This window comes from Homo sapiens, chromosome 17, assembly GCF_000001405.40.
Source record: "Homo sapiens chromosome 17, GRCh38.p14 Primary Assembly".
In the NCBI taxonomy this organism is placed as follows: domain Eukaryota; kingdom Metazoa; phylum Chordata; class Mammalia; order Primates; family Hominidae; genus Homo; species Homo sapiens.
Genome location: NC_000017.11, coordinates 20,062,548 through 20,080,854, shown reverse-complemented (window position 1 = coordinate 20,080,854; position 18,307 = coordinate 20,062,548). Strand labels below are relative to the sequence as shown.

Here is an 18,307-nt window from a genome sequence, read left to right as displayed (position 1 = left end):
GGCCCTCCTCAGGATGGCCAAGGGATGCCCAAATCTCTCAGCATCCCAAGCCAGTTCAAAAAAGCTGCTGTACCGCCTTCTTGTCCTGGGGCTCCTCCCATGCAGTAAGGGCTCGCAGGCAGCACAGGTGAAGCCAGGAGGACTTCCTTTCCCTATGTTCGACCTCATCAGTAAGACCCGGAGAGGCCCTCAAGCTCCTAGACTCAAGACAACCCGAGACCCTCCCCACGAGAGTCTCATTCTTTACCCACTGCGAAACCTCCCCGAGACTGCCTTCCCCAAGAGGCAGCAAGGTAGGCCGCTTGTTGCTCCTCTGCCCCAAGCCATTTATGTCGGGCACTTGTGGCTCTTCTCGTTATAAGGAGGCCCGTTACTGTAGCAACCAGATGTGGCTCCCGCAGTCTGTCTCAGAGGGACCCTCTGATCCCCCGGGTTGTAATGTGTTGCTGGCTTATCTCACGCTTGTAATTAAACAAAATAAATAAATGCTCTGCAGTCTCTCCCTCTTTCTGTCATCTCTTTCCTACAGTGTCCTCCCTGAGTTCACTGACAAGAGAGTCCCCCTGCCAGCTAAATATCTAATCCTAATACATTCCCTTTCTCCCATATAAATAGCATCCCTTTGTGATCAGAGCAACCCCATGCATGCCTTCTAGACCACATTCAAGAGTTCTGCCTTCATTACCTATCATCCTAACTTTTAAATTTAGCATCATTTCATTTTCATTGTTTCTCACTTGCGGTTAAGTCCTTTCAAGATACATTAATAATGTTAAGTCAGTTTTAGGAACTGTAATAAGTAATGGTAGTTGACAATGGCAACAACTGTGAAAAGAGGCATTAAAGAACTAAAATCTGGGAAACAGTGGTCCCAGTGAAAGGAATGAAGACATGGCGGTAGGGGTGCGGAGAAAGGGATGGAATGGGAGAGACTGCAGCGATGCAGGCTCTCCTCAGAGGACCCTAGTTTCCTTGCGCCTCCTGCCCACCCAGGGAAAGGATCCCTCCCTCTGTGACTCTCCACCACAGCCCCCAATGGCAGCTTCGCAGCCACCATCACAGTGATATAATTCATCAGTGTTTACTGTCCCTCCTCCCCAACCCATGCGTAGGTCCCTGGAGGCTGGCACGTTCTCTTTTGCTCACCCTTGTCTCCCTAGGGCCTAGCACACTGCCAGCTCAGACTGGGTGCTGGATGTCTGCTGGGTGGATAATGGATGAAGGGCTTATTTTGAACCTCAGATGACAATCTTTTAAACTAGAGAGGCCAGGCACAGTGGTTCACGCTTGTAATCCCAGCACTTTGAGAGGCCAAGGTGGGAGGATCACTTGAACCCACAAGTTCAAGAACAGCCTGTAGTAAGCCTCTATACCTACAAATAAATAAATTAGCCAGGCACGGTGGTGCACACCTGTAGTCCCAGCTACTCAGGAGGCTGAAGTGGGAAGATCTCTTGAGCACAGGAGGTTGAGGCTGCAGTGAGCTATAATCTCATCACTGCACTCCAGCCTGGGTGACAGAAGAGACCCTGTCTCTAAAAATACATACATAAATAATAAATCAATAAACCAGAGATAAGGAACACATGTTGGAAAAGAAAGTGAGGAGCACAGTGCCTCGGGGGCGTCTACGAGCCGTGTGTGGGGACGCAACTGCACAAAGCCTGAAAACAGGCACAGGAGATGGAAGAGGTCGGCGCCCATCAATAAAGCAACTTTTCCTCCATGCCTCTTGGGTTGCTTCCTTTTCTAAAACATAAGTTAAGACCTTTAAGCATCTTTAAATACTGCCACCAAATTCTTGTTCTTCCCAAAATCTGTCACTCACTTTCCCAACCTTGAGCTTCTACAGCTAGCATCCTGCTCCCAAGAATCTTCTTGCCTGTGGGCCCGGAAAAATGCCTGTTTATTTACTTTATACAAATGCACAAATTCAGACTCATGAAATATTCAAACACAGAAGTATATCTAGCAAGAGGAAAAAGCAACCTGGCCCTTAGTCTACTTCTCTCTCCAGAGGTGACACAGGAAACAACAGTTTGATATCACACATCCAGTGCTTTTTATTAAATGAATTTTTATATACATACAAATAAAAATATATAGCTTATATTTTTAACATACAATTTTTAACATAAATATGTTTGTATTGTTTATGCTTACTTAAAAACATGTACAGTGTTTTTCTAAGACAAATCAAAGGTATGCATATTTTACCTTTTGATAGATTTTATAAATTTGCCATACAAAAAAGCTTTACTAATTTTTGTTCCCATTGGTTATGATTGCCAGTTCCCATCTTCCTATGATTCTCTCTATGCTGGAACATTATTCATATTTTCCATTTTTGCCAATGTGTTGCATGGGAAATGACACGTCATGAGTATTTGAATTTGCATTTCTATGACTATTATTGAGGTTGAACATTGCATGTTTATTGGCCTTCTATATTCCTTTTTCTAGGAATTGCTTTTTTATAACCTTTGCCCATTTTTCTTTGGTGTCTGTTTTTTCTAGTTGATTGCTGGGATCATTTATTATGAGTAGTACTCTTTGTGGTATGTGTGCTGCATGTATTTCTCTCAGCCACACGCTTGTCTTTCAATGTACCAAGTTTTTTGCATATGCAACTCAAACGTGTCATTCTTTCCCTCTGTGGCTAAGACAACCTTTCCTGTCTCCCAAGATTACATGAAAGGTTGTCTTAAGCCATAGAGGGAAAGAATGACATGTTTGACTCTATAAAAATACATATGTCTTTTTATGTATATATGTAATATAATCCATACTCATGTATATAGAGTCATCTATATATGCTTCAAATACTTTCTCTACACATCTACCTACATCAAATACTTTTTCAGTGTGTGTGTGTGTTTTAATTTAGCTTTTGTTTCCTCACTCCAACAACCCTATGGAATAGAAACTATTATTAATTTTATCCCCATTTTACAGATAATAAGACTGAGGGACAGAGAAGTTAAGGCTGAGCAATCTGCCTCCAGTGCCTATGGGCTTAACCAGAATCTTATGTTGCCTCAGTATTACTCCACACAACTCATTCTCTCTACATATCATAAAAGCAACAGGCTAGGTGCGGTGGCTCACGCTTGTAACCCCAGCACTTTGGGAGGCCAAAACAGGTGCATCACCTGAGGTCAGGAGTCCGAGACCAGCCTGGCCAACATTGCAAAACCCCACCTCTACTAAAAATACAAAACTTAGCCAGGCGTGGTGGCGGGTGCCTATAATCCCAACTACTCGAGAGGCTGAGGCAGGAGAATCGCTTGAACCTGGGAGGCAGAGGTTGTGGTGAGACGAGATTGTACCACTGCACTTCAGCCTGGGCCACAGAGCAAAACTCCATCTCAAAAACAAAAAAACAAAACAAACAAACAAAAAAAAGCCACAAAAGCTATCACAGTGCGATAATGGCGTAGAAACAGATTGCTCCTATAAATAATCAAATAATCCAGAAAAATCATATAATAGAAAAGCTGGAGGTATAAAAAGAGAAAATCATAAAATATTAGAAAACATAAGAGTTGCTCATAAATGATATTGGAAAAACTGGTTAGCATTTTTTAAAGCCAGTTTAAATTTACTTTCACATCATCCATGAAAGAAAATACTAGAAGAACATAAATGCCTTAAAAGCAGAGAACTTAGATCTCTAACATAGAAGACTTACGAAAAAAATGAAACCAATTTGACTACATAAAAATGTTAAATGACTGCATGTTTTTTAAAAATTTTAAAGAGGTAAACAATAGACTGGGGAAAATAACTGACAAAAATATGGCAAATAAATCTTACCCATATAAATTGGCCCCAAAAAGCCAGCATTACGATCCCATAAAATGATCAAAAGAGAAAGTACAACTTGTAAACAAGCATGTAAAAAATGTTCAGCCTAGCTGTATTAAAAGAAATGCAAAATACCATAAAGAGGTTCTGTTTTTCTTACTCTTTTTTCCCTGTGATACTGTCGGCTGGTTCTGTTTTTCTTACTCTTTTTTCCCCATGATACTGTCAGCTGGTGGAATGGATGAAATTAAACAAGTGCTCCCCCACACTGTGTTGATATAAAGTAATTTAGCAACACACACCAAGCACCATTAAAATGGTCATGCCCTTTTACCCAGTAATCCCACATCTGAAAATCTACCCTACAGATACAACCCAAAAACATAAGGAAAGTTCCATGGACAAAGACGGTTACTAATCTATTACTTATAATAGCAAAACACAAAAAAGGAAAAGCAACCTAATTTTAAAAAACAGGGAATAGTTAAATAACTTATGGACCAATCACTTAAGAAAATATTTTATGCCATTAAATATTTGTCAAACCAGGCTGGGTGCAGTGGCTCATCCCTGTAATCCCAGCACTTTAGGAGGCCAAGGCAGGCAGATCACTTCAGCTCAGGAGTTCAAGACCAGCCTGGGAACCATAGTGAAACTCCATCTCTACCAAAAATACAAAACTTAGCTGGGCATGTTGGCACACGCCTGTAATCCCAGCTACCTGGGAGGCTGAGGTGGGAGGATAGTTTGAGGCTGGGAGGCAGAAGTCACAGTGAGCTGAGATCACGCTACTGCACTCCAGCCTAGGCGACAGAGTGAGACTCTGTCTCAAAAGAATAATATAGTAATAATTGTGAAACTATGTAACAATTTTAAAGCCTTATGCTATAATATCTAGTTGTACAGGTAGAAAGAAATATATAATTTTTTTAGAACAGGGTCATACTCTGTCACTCAGAATGAAATGCAGTAGTGAGATCATAGTTCATTGTAACCTTGAATTCCTAGGTACGAGTGATCCTCTGGAGTAGCTGGGACTGCAGGCATGCAACACCACACCTGGCTAATTATTTATTTACTTATTTTAATTTTTAGTTTTTTGAGACAGGGTCTTGCTATGTTGCCCAAGGTGAAATGTAGTGGCATGATCACAGCTCACTGTAGCCTCAACCTCCTGATTTCAAGCGATCTTCTTACATCAGCCTCCTGAGTAGCTGGTGCTACAGGTGCACATCGCCACACTTAGCTTGTGTTTTGATTTTTTTGTAAAGATGAGGTATCACTATGCTGCCCAGGCTGGTCTTGAACTCCTGAGCTCAAGCGATCTACCTGTTTCAGCCTCCCAAAATGCTGGGATTAGAGGCATGACCTACGACGCCCAGACCTGGCTAAATTTTTTTACAAAATTTTGGAGACAGTGGCCTTGCTATGTTTCCCAGGCTGTTCTCGAACTCCTGGTCTCAAGCAATCCTCCTTCTTCTCCTCCTGAGTAGCTGGGATTTCAGGTGCAAGCCACTGCACCCAGCAAAAAATCCAGAAATTTTAACAGTTGCTTTAAAGTGTGGGATTAAGTCACTATTTTCTCCAATTTCTGAATTTACTGAAATGCCGTATCAGAGCATGAGCTCTGGATTGAGACAGACTTGAGTTCCCATCCTGGCTGCACCACTCACCTACCTGCCCACCCATCTCTCTGACCTCTCTAGGCCTCCACATCCTCAGCTATTAAGTGAAGACCAAAAAGGTAGCTACCTCATGGGGCTGCTGGGAGAATCAAATGAGATGATGTTGTACAGTGAGAGCTCAAAATTACTTAGATCATTTAAAAAAATGTTAATGTATTGGGGCCAGGTGTGGGGGCTCACGCCTATAATCCCAGCACTTTGGGAGGCCAAGGCAGGTGGATCGCCTAAGGTCAGGAGTTTGAGGCCAGCCTGGACAACATGCTGAAATGTTGTCTTTACTAAAAATACAAAAATTAGCTGGGTGTGATGGCATGCGCCTGTAGTCTCAGCTACTCGGGAGGCTATGACAGGAGAATCACTTGAACCTGGGAGGCAGAGGTTGCAGTAAGCCGAGATCAAGACACTGCACTCCAGCCTGGGTGACAACAGCAAGGCTCTGTCTAAAAAAAAAATAACATATTGGAAAAATAAAATTGGAATGAGGAATGATACTTCACAGGTGGTGGTTTATTTCAAATTCCAGGTTTTCAAATGAAAGTTTAGTATTGCTTATTTTGCACCCCCTCTCCTGCCTTGGGGGCTCCTCTGTTTAGACAGGCTTCCATGTTAACTCACTTGGTAAAGGAAAGGTTAAAGGAAGTGAAACACGGCTACTCTAAAACAGAACCACAGAGACACAGAGTCCATGGAGCTGAGCTGTAAAGGAGCAGAAGCAGCCACACCAGTGAGTTCTGCAGCTAGAGCAGCACCTTAGCATTCTATCGAGAAGGGGTGGAAGCCACATTTCCCAAGAAAACTTAGTGTGGACCTTCTGCACCGCTGAGCTAAACATTTTATACCTATAGGAAATTAGAGTCAGTGGGACAAGGAAATAAAAAGCAAAAACTTAATTTCTAGAAAATAGAGTGGGTAAGAGAGATTTTAAGGTATCTTCAGCCCTGTGATGGGATGTGGGGGAAAAACAATCTCAAGTAACCATATAATAAATAACTTCCCAGAAAAGCCACCAACTTTATCATATTATTGCTTGAAACTCTGCCATCTGGGCTTCACAAACATCTCATTTCAGACCCTAACACAATGTATGTATTGCCCAGATGTTGAGCATTGCGACATTATCAGACCCTCTGCCAGACGACAGGGCACACTACAGTGCTGATCTCCTCCAAGGGGAGATGACTCGAGAACGTTCCAGGGGCTAAGCACTAGTCGAGTGGGCGGTTCTCTCCACAGGACCTTAGACATCCCACACTTGGCAAAAGGAATGCACAGAAGCAGCCCTATTCACCCTGGATGGGAAAATAATCTCCACGCTGCTACTAATTAGTACCCACAGGGCTTCTTTTCTAAAGAACTTCATATATTAACTTGAAGTTGGCATTAATCATCCTTTCCTTGCAAGATAAAACAAGTGAGAAAAGATCATTTTCTTTCAACACGTCAAAAGGTGGGTTTCAAATCCTTTTTCAGCCCCCCAAAATCATGCATGTGGCATTAACTTATCCAGTCCATGCACCACGGGAGAATGTATTCACACTGCCTTAGTCACACCAAGATCCACTGGGTCTGTAAGACATTGTACCTAAAGCAGAAGCACCTCTTCCCCAGCTATCCTAAGATTTTCCATCTCTGTCTTAAATAATAACCAACGATGTACTTACTGCAAAAACTCTGCTTCTCCTGCTTCTCGGGAGCTGCCGACCTCAATCAGCAAGTCAGCCACTCTATTCTGGGTTTGGTGCTGGCCTGGGAGGAAAACCACACTCGGAGGGGGCCGGGCAGAGAGCGCTTGAGCAATGCTTCACTCAGGAAGCAGGCGGGCTCTGCTCTCCCCAAGTTCTGATGGCCTCTCCCCGTCTCTCTCCTGCCTCTCACAATCTCTCTCTCTCTTCTCTTTCTTACATGCATACATGCACAAAGTGCAAAATCATATTTCCATCCTACTTGGTCCTCAATGCTTAATTTGTACCTCTCCAAAATGTAAGGGTTTCAAGATGTAGGCTGGCTAGCTGCTGACTGCTCCCTGAGATATCAAACAGATTTAAAAACAAAAACAAAAACTCAGTCTGCTCTTCACAAATGGATTTACCCTGAAGCTTCAGCCACGCCCCACCACCTTGCCATGACCCTGTGAACACTGTGAGTTCTAGGTGGGAAGGGGAAGTCGGGCTACAACCAGGAAGCATATCACAGCAGGGGCTTCTGGTGAGCCAACTAAAGGGATCTCAAAGGTAGGCATCGGAAACTCCTAGGCTCCAATAATTTGTTGCAATTTTTTTTCGTTCTAAATAAATCTTTTCATACTTAATTTTGAATTCAGGGAGCTCCAAAATGATATGGGCATCCTCACAAAGCCTGGGGTCCACGTTCCCTGCTACTACGGATGGCCTAGAGTAAGCCCCAGTGACAATGGGATCTACTGCAACAGGGACCAAATACACTGCCCAGAAAAAAACACCGAAGAAATGTTGTGAAGGTAAACAAGCAACATGTGTTATATCCACAGGCACCAAGAACTCTATCAGCGGGCCTGGGCTAAGCTTAGTCATTGCCACAAGCTGCATTTTAATTGCTATTTTACTGGATAATAGGTGTGGAAGGCAGCCAGTCTGCTCTTGCATGGCAGAGAGCTCTTATATAGCAGGTGGCATGGGTTTGCAGAGCCTCTGTGACATAGAATCCCCCATGTTCACTATAATTCTAACCTCCATACTCAGACTCTGTCATTCTAATGGACAGAGTGCAGTAAGGAGTTCAGAGCCGGCCTGGCCTGGCACGGCAGCCCCATGCCCCACCTGGCCAAGGCTGCTGCCTCTCATGGCCATCCAGCTTTGCCTTGAAGGAGACAACAGGCACAATGCACTGAACCTGCTCTTACTGAGGAACACCCACTCTCCTGGGGGGCAAGGGGCATACAGGGTCCTAACTCATCTGGGTGACTCCCCATGTGGCACCATGGCACAGACACAGGAGGTGGTAGTGGTTGGGACTCTGCAAATGACAGACACCTAACTCAATTTTGCTTAAGCAAAATGGTGAGTTTGTTGGCTTTACTGATTTAGGAAAGTCTAGGATGAATTCAGGCTGGCTTTAAGCCAGCTCTAGACCATGAGGTCCAATGATGTCATCAGGAATGGTTTTGAATCACCTCGTAGCTTCACTCTCCTAAGCTGGTATCATTCAAACACAGGTGCTCTGAGGATAGGAAGGCCTTGCCCAGCAGCACTGCAAGACTAGAGGTCTTTAGCATTTGAGATTCCAGATTAGAGAGTCTCTCCCAGAAAAGAGCCTGAGGTGATACACTGTCCAACCCATTGGCCGTGGAGAGGGACCTGGATGATTGGCAGCTCCACTAGTTATGGGAAAAGCAGTTTCCAAAAGGAGAAAAAAGGCTAGGCAGAAAAAAAGTACAAGCTAGTCACTCAATAGTGTCTCAGATTATTAAGCCTTTCATGTGATCATGTCTTACTTCCCTCATTAGACTGTAAATCTATTAATAGAAAGATACACACAAAATGTTAACAGTGCTTATCTCTCAGACTGAGTGTCATTTACTTTTTAAATTCACATTGTAGCTTCTAAATTTTCTAAAATAAGTATGTATTCAACTGTATAATAAAATAATATACCTAAATAAGTTATCACGTTAAAAAAAATCCTACTTACAATAGCATCTATAAATAAACCTGGTAAGAAAGTTACAGTCGCCCCCCAAATTCATGCTTTACTGAATGACAAAAAAGAAGACTGGATGAAAAGCATACCATGCTCTCCCAACGGATATTCATTCTCTGCAAACAATTTTATAAATGTGTTGTAATTCCAATAAAAATTCTAATCAGATTAGAAATATGAAGAAAATTATTTATAAAATTGTCCTGAAATTCATCTGGTAGAATAATTGATTATTCTCTACAGAAGCTATCAAGTAACTTGATTCTTCTCTAAAGGAGAAAATTACACACACACACACACACAAACACACACAAACACAAACCACTTGTACTACCAGATAGTAAAATAGATCAGAAAAATAAAAAATTACAATGGCATGGTTCAGGAATAGAAAGATGAGCACTGGATCATGGCAAAGCCCAGAAATAAGAATTCAGATTATGACAAAGATGGCATGACTAATCTAGGATAAAGAATGGATTGTTTTAGCTGAGCACAGTAGTTGGTGTGAGCTTGTAGTCTCAGCTACTTGGGAGGCTGAGGAGGGAGGATTGCTTGAGCCCGGGAGATCAAGGCTGTAGCGCACTATGATTGTGCTTGCAAATAGCCACCGAACTCCAGCCTGGGCAACACAGTGAGACCCTGTCTCAAAAAACTGAAAAAGAAGAAAGACCACACGTCAACCTGGGCAACGTAGTGAAATTTTGTCTTGAAAAATTAAAAGAGAAAAAAGAAAGAAAATATAGGAGATTATCCTGAATAAGGTAGGAGAGGCCTCTCTGAGCCTATAGGCAAAGGCAGAATACATAAAGAAAAAACAGATGTGACTTACCTGAAAATTAAAAACCTCTGAAAAAAAAACCCCACTATAAACAACTTGAAAATGTCAATGACAAGATGAGACAAACATCTGTGCATAACCTTTGGTTCCATTATTCCATTTGTAGGAATGTATCCTACAAAAATAATCATGAATGAATACAAAGCTATCTGAGCAACAGTGATGAGCTTATCCTTGATTATAACAACAACAATGGCAAGAAAAGAAATAATTTAAAGTCTAATTGGTTAGATTATGGTATATCCACATAATTAAGCCTTATGCAGCCATTAAAAGTGATAATAGATGTCATATAGATAAAATATATAGATAAGATATAGAAAAATCCTCAACAAAATACTAGCAAACCAAACCTAAAAACATATATAAAGGATTATATACCATGACCAAATGGAATTTCTCCCAGAAATTCAAAGTTGGTCAAAATCAATCAGTATAATTTGCCCTAGTAATAGAATAAAGGACAAAACCACATGATCATCTCGATAGATGCAGAAAAAGCAGTAGACAAAATCCAACAGATTTTCATAATATAAACACTGAACAACTAGACATAAAAGGGAACTTCCTCAACTTGATAAAGGGCAAGTTCAAAACACTCACAAACTAACATTGTACTTTACGTGAAAATCTGATAGCTTTCTCCTAAGATCAGAAACTAGACAAGGGTGTCTCTCTGCTCTCACCACTTCTTGTCAACATTATACCAGAGGTTTTAGTCTGGACAATTAGGCAAGAAAAAGAAAGAAAATGCATCCAGATTGGTAAGAAAGTAAAACTATCTCTAATCACAGATGACATGCTCTTATATGTATAAAATCATAAGGAATTTACAACAAAAAAACCTCTTAGGGCTAATAAAGGAGTTCAGGAAGGCTGCAGAATACAAGATCTTACAAAAATCAATTGTATTGCTATATACTTGCAGTGAATAATCCAAATATACTCAGAAACCAATTACATTTATAGTAGTATCAAAAAGAATAAAATATTTATGTTTAACTATAAAATATTTATAAATGTTAATTATAAAATATTTATCAATATGTATGAGTAAGTGGAAAGTCTACACACTGAAAACTACAAAATGTCATTGAAAAAACTAAAGAAGTCAAGTAAATAAACAGACATCCCATGTCCATGTAAGACAGTCATATAGACCAATGGAATAGAATTGACAGTCCAGAAATGAACCCATAAATTTATGGGCAGTTGATTTTCAACAAGGATGCTAGGACAATTCAATGGGAGACAGTCTTTTCAACAAATTATGCTGGAATAACTGGATATCCACATATAAAAGAACAAAGTTAGACTCCTACCTCATACTATACACAAAAATCACCTCAAAGTACAAGAGCTAAAACTTTGTAATTCTTGGAAGAAAATATAGCTGTAAAACTTCATGACTATATTAGACAGTATTTTCTTAGAGATGACATCAAAAGCAGAAGTAAGCAAAGACAAACTAGATAAAGTGGACTTCATAAAAATTAAAAACCTTTTGCTTCAAAAGATACTATCAAGAAAATGAAAGGACATGCAGCCATAAAAAAGAACAAGATCACGTCCTTTATAGGGACATGGATGGAGCTGGAGGTCATTATCCTCAGCCTCCAGCTAATGCAGGAACAGAAAACCGAATACTGCATGTTCTCACTTATTAGCGAGAGCTAAATGATGAGAACTCATAAACACAAAGGAGGAAACAACAGACACTTGAGGGTGGAGGCTTGGAGGAGGGAGCAGAAAAGGTAACTGTTGGGTACTGGGCTTACTTCCTGGGTGATGAAATAATCTGTATAACAAACCCCTGTGACATGAGTTTACCTATGTGATAAACCTTCACATGTACCCCTGAACCTAAAATAAGTTAAAAAAAAGAAAATGAAAAGATAACCCACAGAATGGGAGAAATCATTTGCAAATCCTATATATGATAAGTGTCTAGTATCTAGAATGTGTAAAGATCTCTGAAAACTCAATAATAAAAAGACAAATAACCCAACTGAAAAGTGGGTAAAGGATCTGAACAGGTATTTCTCCAAATAGACTATACAATACAAGTGGCCAACAAGCACGTGAAAAGAAGCTCCACATTAGAAAAATCAATCATTAGGCATTATGCAAACCAAAGCCACTGGGAGATGCCACTCCACATCGACTGGGATGGCTCTAGCCAAAAGAACAGACATTAACAAGTGCTGGTGAGGATGTGGTGACACTGGAACCCTCATACATTGCCTACGTAAATGTGAAAAAGTACAGCCACTGTGAAAAACAGTTTGGGGAGTCCCTCAAAAAGTTACACCCAGTTACCATTATGACCCAGTAACTCCAGTCCTTGGTATATATCCAAAAGAATTGAAAACAGAAGTTCAAACAAGAACCTGCAGACAAATGTTCACAATAGCACTAATCACAGTAGCCATAAAGTAGAAAAAACCCAGTGGCCATCAGCTGTTGAATGGATAAATATAAAGTGTACATCCACACAGTGAAATATTATCCATCAGTAAAAAGGAATAATGTACCGATACATGGATGAACCCTGAAAACCTTATGTTGAACAAAAGGAGCCACACAGGCTGGGCATGGTAGCTCATACCTATAATCCCAGCACTTTGGGAGGCTGAAGCAGGCAGGTCACTTGAGCCCAGAAGTTTGAAACCAGCCTGGGCCAACATGGCGAAATCCTGTCTCTACCAAAAATACAAACCAGGGGTGGTGGTGTACATCTGTGGTCCCAGCTACTTGGGAGGCTGAGGTGGGAGGATGGCAGAGGTTGCAGTGAGCTGAGATTGCAGCACTGCACTCCAGCCTGGGTGACAGAGCAAGAACCTGTCTCAAAAAAAAAAGAGAAGCCACACACAGAAGACCATCTATTGTATAATTCCACTTCTACGCAATGTCCAGAAGAGGGGAATTCACACAAACAGAAAGTACTTGAGTGGCTGCCACAGGATGAGGGAAGGAGCGATGGAAGGGTGGTAACTGCCCTGGGTTTTCGGGGCGGGGGGGTAATGTTCTAGAATTTGACAGTGCCAACTATTGTATAACTTTGTGAAGATACAAACAAATCACCATATTGTTCACTTTTAAAAGTATGAATTTTATGGCAGTGAATATAAGTGAATACATGTTATCTCTATAGAAATATGATATATACTATAAATGTTAAAAATATTATAAATATGTAAACATTTATATAAATGTAAATATATGTGAATTTATGGCATCTCAATAGAGAAAGTGATACTACAAAATATCCAGTGATATGGAACAATGACGACAATATATTTTGGTGGAAAATACAAATTGTAAAGTGTATGCAGTAGGAGCTCATATTTACATTTAGGCATATAAAAAGACTGAAAAAAAAATCTATATATTAAGAATGGTTAGGTTGGGCGTGGTAGTTCACGCCTGAAATCCCAGCACTTTGGGAGGCCGAGGCGCATGGATCACCTTAGGTCAGGAGTTCAAGACCAGTCTGGCTAACATGGTGAAATCCTGTCTCTACTAAATACAAAAATCAGCTGGGCGTGGTGGTGTGCACCTGTAGTCCCAGCTACTTGGGAGGCTGAGGCAGGAGGATCACTTGAACCTGGGAGGCGGAGGTTTCAGTGAGATGACATCATTGGAATCTACATCTCCAAAAAAAAGAAAAAAGAAAGAATGGTTATCTAGGTGGTGGAATGATAGGAAATTTTAATTTTCTTTATGCTTTTTACATTTTTCTACACTGTCTACTATGAACATGTAACAGTTTTGTAATTTTTTAAAATCTATTTAAGGCTGGGCATAGTGGCTCACACCTAGAATCTCAGCACTTTGGCAGGCCAAGGCGGGAAGATTACTTGCATCCAAGAGTTCAAGACCCGCCTGGGCAACATAAAAGCCCTTATCTCTACCAAAAAAAAAAAAAAAAAAAATTTGATTAGCCAGGTGTGGTGGTATGGCACCTATAGACCCAGCTACTTGGGAGGCTGAGATGGGAGAACTGCTTGAGCCCAGGAGGTTGAAGGTACAGTGAGCAGTGACTGTGCCACTGCATTCCAGCCTGGGCAAAACTCTATCTCAAGAAAAAAAAAACTACTTAAGCATAACAACAATTATGTATCCTGACAGTATCAGACTCTATTTGTAAATTCATGGCTTATATTGCAGAAAGTAAATACAATTCCACCTGAGGAAAGCTTTCTTATTCGTAGAAATAATTAAACCCTGCCCAAGACATCCTTTGCAGGAACTCTCCTCCTGGATTCTGTAAAAACAGAGTAAGATGACCAACTATAATGGCATGCTGAGGTGTTCATTTGCAGGGAGACCGGGAAGTATCAGGGTAGCCAAGCTCCAGGAGCCGGATGGATGACTCCAGACCAATGCTCTTCCACTGAAGGAATCTCCGTGCAGGCTAAGTTCCTAAGTGGGCATCCAGCCAGCTCTGCACAGAACAAGAATTCCTAAATGCTAGCCAAAAATCAAAGCTTAAAAATGCTCTGTTTGCTCTTGGAAAACAAATTTATCAACCCTAAAAATAACTAGGAGAAAGGCAAAGATGAAAATGACTCTGAGTGAGTTTCAAACAGATGTTTGGCTAATTTTTGCAAAGGCTGTTAGAATAAGAGTCCTCAGAGAGGGGTACCTAGGAGACTCTAATGATTCAGGATGAAAGGGCACACTCCCATTTGTAAAAAAGGTAAAAAGCTTCATGAGTTTCCGAGTTTCACCTAGCCAGCAACAGATCCAGTTTTTATTATCAGAAAATGGGTATGGATAGAAATTGTTTATCTGATGGTATGTTGTTATGATTGACTGATAGATAGATATAGATACAGATATAGATATACATATAGATAGATAGATATAGATAACAAATTATAACAAGGACTATGGGCATTAGAACCGGTTCCTGGCTCCTGATGCCTATAGTCCTTCTTATAATTTCAGGGCACTTTAGGCCTCAGGAAACAGAATCTCTCTCTCTCTCTGAACTTCTCCTGTCCTTTCACGTGCCCAAGACAGGACCCTTCTCTAATTATGGGTCAGGAGTCCCTCAAACTAGAGAGAGTCCTAACTATACCCTAAAGGAAGGAATGTTACACAGAGAGACCAAGAAAAGTCTTGAAGAGACAGGCATGCTAGGTTTAGATCATGTACTTTTTGTCCAATCACATTTCTACATGGTTGTGGTGCCTATGCAATGAAGCCTCCATAAAAACCCAAAAGGTCACAGTTCAGAGAGCGTCTGGACAGCTGAACACCTGGAAGTTTCTGGAGGGTAGTGCACCCAGGGAAGGCGTGGAAGCTCTATGCCCTTCCCCATCCTTTGTCCTACACTTCTCTTCATCTGTATCCTTTGCGATATCCTTTATAATAAACTGATCAATGTAAGTTAGTGTTGCCCTGAGTTTTGTGAGCTGCTCCAGCAAATTAGTTGAACCCAGAGGAGTCATGGGAACCCCAACTTGAAGCCAGTTGGTCAGAAGTTCCAGAGGCCCAGACTTGAGACTGGTGACTGGAGAAGGAGGCAGCCTTGGGGCCTGAGTTTTGCCCTGTGGGATCTGATGCTCTCTCCAGGTAGACAGCGTCAGAGTTGAACTGGAGAACACCTAGCTGGTGTCCACTACTTCTATAGAGAAACCCCCATACATTTGGTCACAGAAGTCTTTTTCCGTGTTGATGACTGTTGTTGTGGTGTGAGAGCAGAGGAAAAACCCAGTTTGAGAGGGTTCTTCCAAAACAGGTGGGTTAGATCATGATTAATATACAAATTGTTAAACAAAATCTGAAATTTGACACAAGCATGTAGTTTAGAAATACATTGCTCTTCTTTCTAGTATCTATAAAGTCTGACTATAACTGCTCATTTCTACTAAGAGGAACTTGACTTCCATGATAACCAAACCATCTCTTTAGATGACTTTTTAATTTTGTTCTGAAGCATGACATTTTACCATAAGAAAGTACACAGGGAGAAGTAATTACAGAGGGAAACATACCACACCCGGCAAGGAGTGGTTAGTGAAGTTGGCCTTCTCATGAGCTATAAGACAAGGTTCATCATGCCCTCCCTGTGAAAACATAAAGGCAAGGGCTTTCTGTAAGTACATGGCTAGAAACAAGAAGTTTGTGGGCTTACAAGTTACAATACGCTGGTACATTTTCAGTTTTAAGAACAATACTGTGGTGCCAGGTGAATTCATATGCCGAAGGTCATGTAGCATGACCTTGAGAGGTCCCGTAGGGATGGAAGACGTCTGGCGCTGGGACAGATCCTCCTGCTGTCCTCCCACCCCAGCACTAAACACCCTCTGCTTCTAGCGTCATGTACCTGCCACCCACACTGTGCTTCCCTCCCAGGCTGTGTGAGGATACAATAAGGCTATGCATACATTTGCATTTGTTTAATTAGCCAGAAAGAGAAAAGCAGTTACCCTTTTGATTCCAAAGCAGATGTTAAACTAATTTGGGGAAAGAACAAGAGTCCCAGAGAGTCTGAAGAATGACTCATCGTCAATCCCCCACAAGTTTCATCACACTTGGTGGTGTGCCCGTTCTCTGACTCTCCTGCCATCAGGGTTCTGGATGTGCAATGCCCTTCTCTGGCCCCCAGCTGCTCCTCTTTTGGCTGTCCCAGCATCACACTCCCTCCGAGCTGGGTTTGCATGCTCACAAGAAGCTGAAGCCCCGACTCCTGTCTCTTCGTGGTTTTTTCCATGCCCTGCTGGTCTCACTTGCCTCACTGACTAGTCTGAAACCCCAAGATCACCTCCTTCTGCCAACTCTGGCCCTGCTTACTCAGCCACCAGCCAGAGACTGCCAACTCATTTTTCTTTGTTCCTGATCTAGGTCTCCAAACAGAACTGAAAAACCGAACTGCCCTGAGGCCATTTGGCCCTCAGCACCTCTAAGTGATTGTTTTATTCATTTCCAACTGTCTTCTTTTCAAACCTCTCAAAGCGTTTATTCTAAATGCCTTATTCTGTTGGCTAAGTTTAACTCAGAGGGAAGGGTTACTAGCCTGACTGTGATCTTAGGTCAAGCACTACTCTCTACTTCAGCCTTATTAACAAAGCTGATAGTCTGATTCAGTCTGCCTGATTCCTGACTCATTTCTTGATGGATTCTGAACTGCCTGTGTTTGTGATGGCAGTTGGGAGTGAGGAGGTGAAGGAGAATGATGCCAACAATTGTTTTCCTGACCCTCGACAACTATCTTTGAACCTTTGTTCCCACCTTCCTCTACATGAACGGGTCTTCTCTGAGTCCACAGAAAGCAGGATGAAGAATGAATAAAGATAAAAACGGCAATTAATTAAACAGAAAACATTTTTTAAATGACCTTGAAGATTAATAAAATGAAAAGCTGATGCTTTGAAAGGACTAACAAGATAGAACCTCTGGCAAATCTAATCAAGAAAGAAAAAAGGAAGGTACCCAAATTAGGAACAAGAAAGAGAACGTAATTACATATAAGGATTTGTAAACTAGGCAAAGCAGATCATTTTCTAGGAAAACATAGAATACCAAAATTAACTCAAGAAGAAACAAACAGTCCAACAGAAAAAAGGCAAAGGATATGAAAAGGCAATTCACAAAAATCCAAATGACTGCTAAACATAAGAAAAGATGCTTAACCCATCTAATAGCAACCAATATGAGCTAAAGCAATGAGGTATTTTTAAACCCATCTTGCAGACTAACATTTTAAGAAGAGATAAGACTATTAGCAAAAATATAGAAAATAGTCTCTTTCATGGCTCTTGAGAGGCAGTTGGGATGGGAATTATAAGGAGTGACTTCATATTTACTCTATATCTATATATTTGGCTTTTTATAAGAATGCGTTTCTTGGCTGGGCACGGTGGCTTATGCCTGTAATTCCAGCACTTTAGGAGGCTGTGGTGGGCAGATCACTTGAGGTCAGGAGTTCGAGACCAGCCTGGCCAACATGACGAAACCCTGTCTCCACTAAAAATACAAAAATTAGCCGAGATGGTAGCGTGCACCTGTAATCCTTGCTACTCGGGAGGCTGAGGCAGGAGACTCACTTGAACCCAGGTGGCAGAGGTTGCAGTGAGCCGAGATCCCACCAGTGCACTCCAGCCTGGGTGACAGATTGAGACTACATCTCAAAAAAAAAAAAAATGTATTTCTTGTGTTATACGTGAAATTTTGACCTGGTATGGTGGCTCATGCCAGTGGGGAAGCACTTTGGGAAGCTGAGGCAGGAGGATCACTTGAGCTCAGGAGTTTGAAACTAGCCTGGGCATCATAGCAAGGCCCCATCTCT

At 41.4% G+C, this 18,307-nt stretch overlaps 1 protein-coding gene across 20 annotated transcripts in view, besides 4 other annotated features; it reads right to left on the bottom strand.

The window, feature by feature from the left end:
* SPECC1 (sperm antigen with calponin homology and coiled-coil domains 1) overlaps nucleotides 1-18,307 on the bottom strand; it is a 309,668-nt gene that overhangs the window by 238,172 nt on the left and 53,189 nt on the right. The gene's annotated exons all lie outside the window — the stretch shown is intronic.
* Nucleotides 7,041-7,260: an enhancer, noted in NCBI's record as "active region_11868". NCBI's record gives its function as "activates an Ori minimal core promoter by ATAC-STARR-seq in GM12878 lymphoblastoid cells {active_cell/tissue: GM12878}" and the evidence as "EXISTENCE:reporter gene assay evidence [ECO:0000049][PMID:35858748]".
* Nucleotides 16,269-16,338: an enhancer, noted in NCBI's record as "active region_11867". NCBI's record gives its function as "activates an Ori minimal core promoter by ATAC-STARR-seq in GM12878 lymphoblastoid cells {active_cell/tissue: GM12878}" and the evidence as "EXISTENCE:reporter gene assay evidence [ECO:0000049][PMID:35858748]".
* Nucleotides 16,565-16,859: a silencer, noted in NCBI's record as "tiled region #535; K562 Repressive non-DNase unmatched - State 23:Low". NCBI's record gives its function as "represses a minimal TATA promoter and a strong SV40 promoter by Sharpr-MPRA in K562 cells {active_cell/tissue: K562}" and the evidence as "EXISTENCE:reporter gene assay evidence [ECO:0000049][PMID:27701403]".
* Nucleotides 16,799-16,848: an enhancer, noted in NCBI's record as "active region_11866". NCBI's record gives its function as "activates an Ori minimal core promoter by ATAC-STARR-seq in GM12878 lymphoblastoid cells {active_cell/tissue: GM12878}" and the evidence as "EXISTENCE:reporter gene assay evidence [ECO:0000049][PMID:35858748]".